The sequence below is a fragment of the Homo sapiens genome, chromosome 16, assembly GCF_000001405.40.
Source record: "Homo sapiens chromosome 16, GRCh38.p14 Primary Assembly".
Taxonomy (NCBI): Eukaryota; Metazoa; Chordata; class Mammalia; order Primates; family Hominidae; genus Homo; species Homo sapiens.
The window spans coordinates 55,188,785-55,195,359 of NC_000016.10; the positions used below are offsets into that span (position 1 = coordinate 55,188,785).

At 42.0% G+C, this 6,575-nt stretch overlaps 3 annotated features.

The window, feature by feature from the left end:
• Positions 489-1,587: an enhancer, noted in NCBI's record as "VISTA enhancer hs26". NCBI's record gives its function as "enhancer in: neural tube[3/7] | midbrain (mesencephalon)[3/7] | eye[3/7]" and the evidence as "EXISTENCE:transgenic organism evidence [ECO:0001131][PMID:17130149]".
• Positions 489-1,872: a biological region, named in NCBI's record as "VISTA enhancer hs26".
• Positions 1,373-1,872: an enhancer, noted in NCBI's record as "NANOG-H3K4me1 hESC enhancer chr16:55224069-55224568 (GRCh37/hg19 assembly coordinates)". NCBI's record gives its function as "activates a minimal SCP1, AML or CMV promoter by ChIP-STARR-seq in naive H9 embryonic stem cells {active_cell/tissue: H9 hESC(naive)}" and the evidence as "EXISTENCE:reporter gene assay evidence [ECO:0000049][PMID:30033119]".

Here is a 6,575-nt window from a genome sequence, read left to right on the forward strand (position 1 = left end):
GGTACGATCTTGTTCCTGTTCTCCCATGAATGTGAGACTTCAGTGGGGCCCAGCTGCCTCCCTGGCCCAGCTCCAGGGACTGAACCCCAGATGTGCAGCTCTTGGCCTCCCCAAAGGATCTTGTGTCTCAGGCATGGGAGAGGAGCTTCGGGGCCTTGGAGACTGAAGGGACCAGCAGGCTGAGACCGGAGGGACCTTTGAACCTTGCAAGAAACTGAGTGCTAGCCTCTTTCAGGAGGTGGGGTGGAGAATTCTATTTCTCTGAGGTTACATGTCTCACCAACCCGGCAGCATGAGTCTCCAAGTTAGAATAAATACAGCTAAATAAAATGAAAGAATATGCTATTTCTTGCACACAAGTTTGTAAACTGAGATCTACAATGCAAGACGTTGACAAAATTATTACCGTGCCTTGTGCAGCTAAGGAGTCCATCTCCCACTGCCTGTGCATGGAGCTATAGTTCCTGGAAGTCTAAAATACTGACTATTTCTACTTCACCAGACCTTCGAAATGCTGGGGTGAGAGCCTCTGGAGCTCATGCTCCCCATGTCATGATGAAGGCAGCTTTAATGGCTTTGAGTCACGTGCCCCTCAAAGGCCAGCCCCCCGGACAGCTGTTTGCAAACTCCTCTCCAAAGCAGCTTCCCTTGAAGAGAGTTGCTACACAATCATTACAAATTGATTGCAAAAGAGCTAACAATCATGATTAAATCATTAAATTCTTGTCTACGCTTCAGAGAGCGGTGAGAAAATTAACTTCCCACCAACCTAATTTTTTCCTGAACATGAAATAATGATTTTCTGCCCGTCTAATTACAAAGCCAACATCTGATCAAGCCAGCATCCAGAGGGGATTATCGCATGCACGAGTATTAGACCTCATTACCAGCTTGAGTGCAAAATTATTACATCTTGTAATTGGATGGTGAGATTTATATACAGATCGGCCCGGTTTCTGTAAGATTGTAATTACAAGCTTCGTTGGTTAGCTACTTATCACTCAGCACAGAAGAGAGGAAAATAAGCAACAGAAAAGGCATTTCATTAACCCATAACCCTATCAAGGGAAAGCCACTGTAACACCCATGTCTGCATTAGGGAGAACAGCTAAATTCACAGATGAAACAATTTATTATACTCTTTGCAAATGGGATTGCATTTTGTTTAACCCCTAATGAACTCTTTGGGTAAAGTGTCTGAACAAACCATTCATTTTATAGACAACTAGGTTCAATACAGTAATTATAAGGGGTAACTGACTGAGATAAATGCTCACCTGCTTAGAGGCTGTTGATTAGAGGCACAATTGCTGGGCGCTGGGCTCCGGCACAAAGGGCCGGGGGGCTGGAACAGCCTTGGATTTCCCGGGGAGCTGCTGGGGGGGCAGCAGGACCCCGCATAGCAAATCTACTCTGCACTCGGAACGCTAGGCATTCGTTGTCAAGCCTGGCTGGAACAGGCGAGGTTTAATAAAGCCGCAAGGGCGATGCAGTTTAACAATTTTAGAGGCACTGGTGTGGAACGCAGAAATTTCAATATAGCCTGATGAAGGCTCCTCACATGCTCCAGATGTGTGACCTAAATTAAATGTTGCCTTTTCACATGTTTATGGCACAACAATGGTCTTCACACAAAGTCGGCTCGGCAGGGTGTAAAACCGGAGGAGGATTGCGATGCTCAAGGTGAGTTATTTCTCAGTCCTCTGGCCCTCAGTCCTCTCTTCCAGGAGTCTGCAAACTGAAGCTCCCCGGTCAAACGCAGCCCGCTGCCTATTTTTGTACCTCCAGTGAGCATGGTACATTTCATGGCAGGTGAAAATGCTATGAAATTCACATTTCGGTGTGCATAAATAAAGTTTTATGAAAACACAGCCACATTCATTTGTTTGTAATAGCTATGAGGGTTTTCTGCTACAACGGCAGATCTGCAAAGCCAAAAACGTTTACTGTCTAACCTGTAACAGAAAATATTTGCCAACTTTTATTCTATTGCATTTAGGCATTCACTTATCTGTTCATTCCACCAAAAAAAAAAATAAATAGAAATACAAAAAACTGAGCACCTACTATGTACCAGGTCCTGGGCCAGATGCTAGGAATACAAACAAAAACAAAAACAAAAAACACAATTCTTGCCCTCCAGGACCTAGTGGTCTGTTGGGGAAATAGACCTGGGCACCTTTAGGGGCTTTGGCACAACTGCACATCTGTTTCCCCTTCTTCTGGTAACAGGATCCTGGATTTCCTCTGGGGAACCAGCCTCACCTTGACCCACTCGACATCACCTGGCCACCATGATTGGTTCAAGGATGGGCACGTGACCCACTCGGAGCTCACGAGCTGCAACCCAGGCCCTCTGTGAGGAGAGAGGCACTTTCTCTTTTAGTTGGAGTTAGACTTAGTTGGCCTAGTTCTGCAACCATAGAAAGCACCTTGCTGCTCCCGTAGAGCCTGTGAAAAAGCCTCCAAAGAGGTGAGTTGGAGCTAAGTGATGGAAAGAAACCGGGTCCTGATGTTCTGTTCAAGCCCCTGAGCCCAGTTGTGCCTGAAATCCCTCTACCCTTGTACATTTTCATTTTATGAGCCAATAAAATGACTTTTCTTGTGCTTGAGCCAGTCTACTGTCACTCACAACAGAAAGAAGGTACTGATTTACACACAAAAGAAGGCAGAATGAAGTGAGTGTTATGTGAGGGATCTGATCAGCATATTGTAGAAGGACACAGGAGAGCGTGATTCTGCCAGGGACTCCTGGAACCCTTACTGGAGGAGGGGGCCTTTGCGTCTGGGTTTGAAAGGTGAGTTGGGTTCTCAATAAATGGGAAAAGCATGTGATCTCTTTCATGGTGAAGACTAGGCATGGGCAGTGGGCAGAGAGCACAATGTATGTACAAGGAATAGTATGAAGGGATTCTTCATACATTCTCCTGCCCTTCATACAGGCAGGGAGAGAGTTTAGGACCAGGTGAAGCATGCACACTCATCTCTTCTCCTCCTGAGCCACTCAGAGAGCTTATTCTCAGAGTACCGGGAACACCAGGACCCTCTGAGCCAGGAAGTTGTGTGGGCCATCACCCAAAGATGCTATACCAGGCAGACTGTAAGTTGGCCTCCAACAATCCCCACATCCAGGTATTCACACCTTGGTGTAGTCCCCTCTCCTGGAGGGTGGGAGGGAATTTGGCCTTGCTTCTAACCAATTATGACAAAGGTGGCAGAATGCCACTCCTGTGACTGGATTACGTAAGTTTGTGACTAGTCTTGCTGGCTGGCTCTCTCTTCTTCTAGGCTTGCACTCTTTGATGAAGCAAGCTGCCATGTCAGAGAGGCCCATATAGCAGAGAACTGAAGTTGGCTTCTGGCCAGCAGTCAGCTGGAAACTGAAACCCTCAGTCCTACATCTCTCAGGGAACTGAATGCTGCCAGTAATCACGTGGCCTTGGAAGCTGATCCTTCCCCAGTCAAGCATTCAGATGAGACTCCAGCCTGGCTCACAGCTAGATTTCAGACATGGGAGAGGTCCTGAAGCAGGGGACTCAGCAAAGCTGTGCTTGGATTCCTGACTCACAGAAACCAGGAGACAATGAATGAGTGTTGTTTGAAGTTCCTAATTTTGTAGTCATTTTTTACACAGTAATAGATAACTAATACTTATACCAAAACCACCAGAATAATAGTTCTCAAAGTATGGTTTTCCTCAAGATAGTACAAGAGAAGGAGAGAGAACAGAAGAGAGCATCAGGCAAGGGGAGGGAGGTGAGTGTGAAGTCATCTTTATTCTGGAGTTAAGTTTAATATCAGCACCTCTCAAATGTTTTCTTCCAAGTGCCATCCATGACAAAAGATCATGTTTAAATGTTTGGTTTATCAATTTGGTTGGCTTGTGGTTATCAATTTTTTAAAAATTATTCAGCACAAAAAGAAAAAAAATTGACTTCTCACACATACAAACACACCCTCACACATTTCTGCACAAATATATAATGAACATTATATCCTGTATGCTTTTTCTTTAATTATTGTCAGCCTATTCCCATAAGAATGTCAGCTTCATGTGGCAACAAGGTTGCTTTTTTTATTATGTTGTGGTTGGAATGTTGTTGTCTCACCAAAATGCATATGCTGGAATCTAATCCCCAATGTGACAGTAGTAAGAGGTGGGGCTTTTAGGTCATGAGAGCTCCACCCTCATGAATGAGACTAGTGCCCTTGAAAAGAGGCTGGAAGGAGCTCCCTTGTCTTTTCCATCATGTGAGGATGCATAGATGGCATCAAATCTGTTGGCATCCTGATCTTAGATTTCCTAACCTCCAGAACCATAAGGAATAAATGTAAGTTGTTTGTAAATTACCCAGTCTAAGGTATTTTGTTATAGCAGCCTGAAAGGAGTAAAACAATTACTACTCCCTGAGGGTCGCTAGATCAATGCTTTGTTGAGTAAATGAATGAATATATGCATGTCATACACTATGCACATATACAACAAAGTAAATTTTTTAAATGATGAGATAAAGATAAAATGAGCAGTATTTTATTTTTTTGTTTGTTATTTTTGCTGAGATGAGTTATCGCTATGTTCCCCAAGTTAGTTTCAATCTCCTCACCTCAAGTGATCCTTCCCCCTCAGCCTCCCAAAATGCTGGGATTACAGGTGTTATCCACCATGCCTGGCCCAAAATGAGCAATATTTTAAAACGTTATCCCAATTGTGAGGGCTTCATACTACCATCAGTTAATATCTCATGGCACAATATGCCTTTAGGGAGAGATTGGTGTCAACAATAGGGATGTAAAACCACATTTCAGATTACCTTTTTGATTATTTCAATTGGCCAACTTCTTTCGGATCTTATTAGATAACCATTGTTTTACCTCATAATGTGGCTGGTCAAAAGCGTTTGTACAGAAAGGAAGTGACAGCTTGGCCATGTTCTTCTTTACTTCTACTGGCATTATCATTATTAACTTTAATTGTGCTTTCTTTGAGGGAATCGTCTCCAGCCACTTGTCTTTTTTTGTGAAGACTGACTTAATTAAAACAAGATAAGATAATCTGTAAATACAATTAACCTGGCATGTGAAAAACACAACTTGAGATGTGCCAAAAGCAAAAAGAAAGAAAAAAATGGGTAAGAGGGACACGATCCACCCCTGTCCCCTGCCCACACACACACAGTGTGACTTGCACTCTTTCCCTCAGGTACCTTGTAGAGTTTATGGGACATAAATATAACCTTTTTGATATAGGACTGAGTGAAGGAATCATGCCAGTCTGTGGATTAAAAAATTGCCAACACTATTTATTTCTCAAGTTTTAGTTTTAAAAAATCAATACATTTATTTCTGAATTCTCAAGTCTATTCCATTGACCTATATGTCTATCCTTGTGTCAGTACTATACTGTCTTGATTACCATTGTTTTGTAGTAAATTTTGAAACCTGGAAGCAGGGGTCCTCCCATTTTGCTCTTCTTTTTCAAGATTGTTTTGGCTAGTTGGGGTTCCTTGCAATTCCATATGCATTTTAAAATCAGCGAATAAATTTCTACAAAGAGGTCAACTGAGATTCTAATAGGGATTGCAGTGTATTCATAGATCAGTTAGAGGAGTATATTTTCACTTGTTAAATCTTTTAATCCATGAACATGGGCTATTTTTAAAATTTAGATTTTATTTAACTTCTTTCAATAATGTTTCGTAGTTTTCAAGGTACAAATTTATACATTTTTTTTAACATTTCTTTCCTTTTTTTTTTTTTTTTTTTTCAATTTTTTGAGACAGGGTCTCACTTTGTCTCCCAGGCTGGGGTCCAGTGGCATGAACATGGCTCACTGCAACCTTGACATCTTGGGCTCAGGCAGTCCTCCTCAGCCTCCCAAGTAGCTGCAACTACAGGTGTGTGACACTACACCCATCTAATTTTAAAATTTTTTGTAAAGAAAGGGTTTCACTATGTTGCCCAGGCTGGTCTTGATCTCCTGGGCTCAAGCAATTCTCCTGCCTCAGCCTCCCAACGTGCTGGGATTACAGGTTGTTATATTTATTTCTAAGTATTTTTTGATGCCATTATAAGTGAAATTTGTTTTCTTAATTTGATTTTTTGACTGCTCGTTGCAAGTGTATCTAATACAATTGATTTTTGCATATTGATGTATCTTGTAATATTGCTGATTTTCAACAAGGTTGCCAAGACCATCTGATAGAGAAAGAATAGTCTTTTCAACAAATAGTACTGGAACATATGGATAGCCACATACAAAAGGATAAATATGGACCCCATTCCACCCCATATCAAGAACTAACTCAAAATGGATCAAATACCTACATGTAAGTGCTAAAACTATAAAACTCCTAAAAGAAAACATAGGGGTAAGGCTTCATGACTTTGGACTTGTCAAATGATTCCTAGATATGGCATCAAAAACATGAACAAGAAAAGAAAAAAATCGATAATTCAGATTCATTAAAAATAAAAAATTTTGTGTTTCAAAGGACGCTATTAAGAAGGTGAAAAGCAGACCAGGCACAGTGGTTCACACCTGTAATCCCAGCACTTTGGGAGGCCAAGGAGGGAGG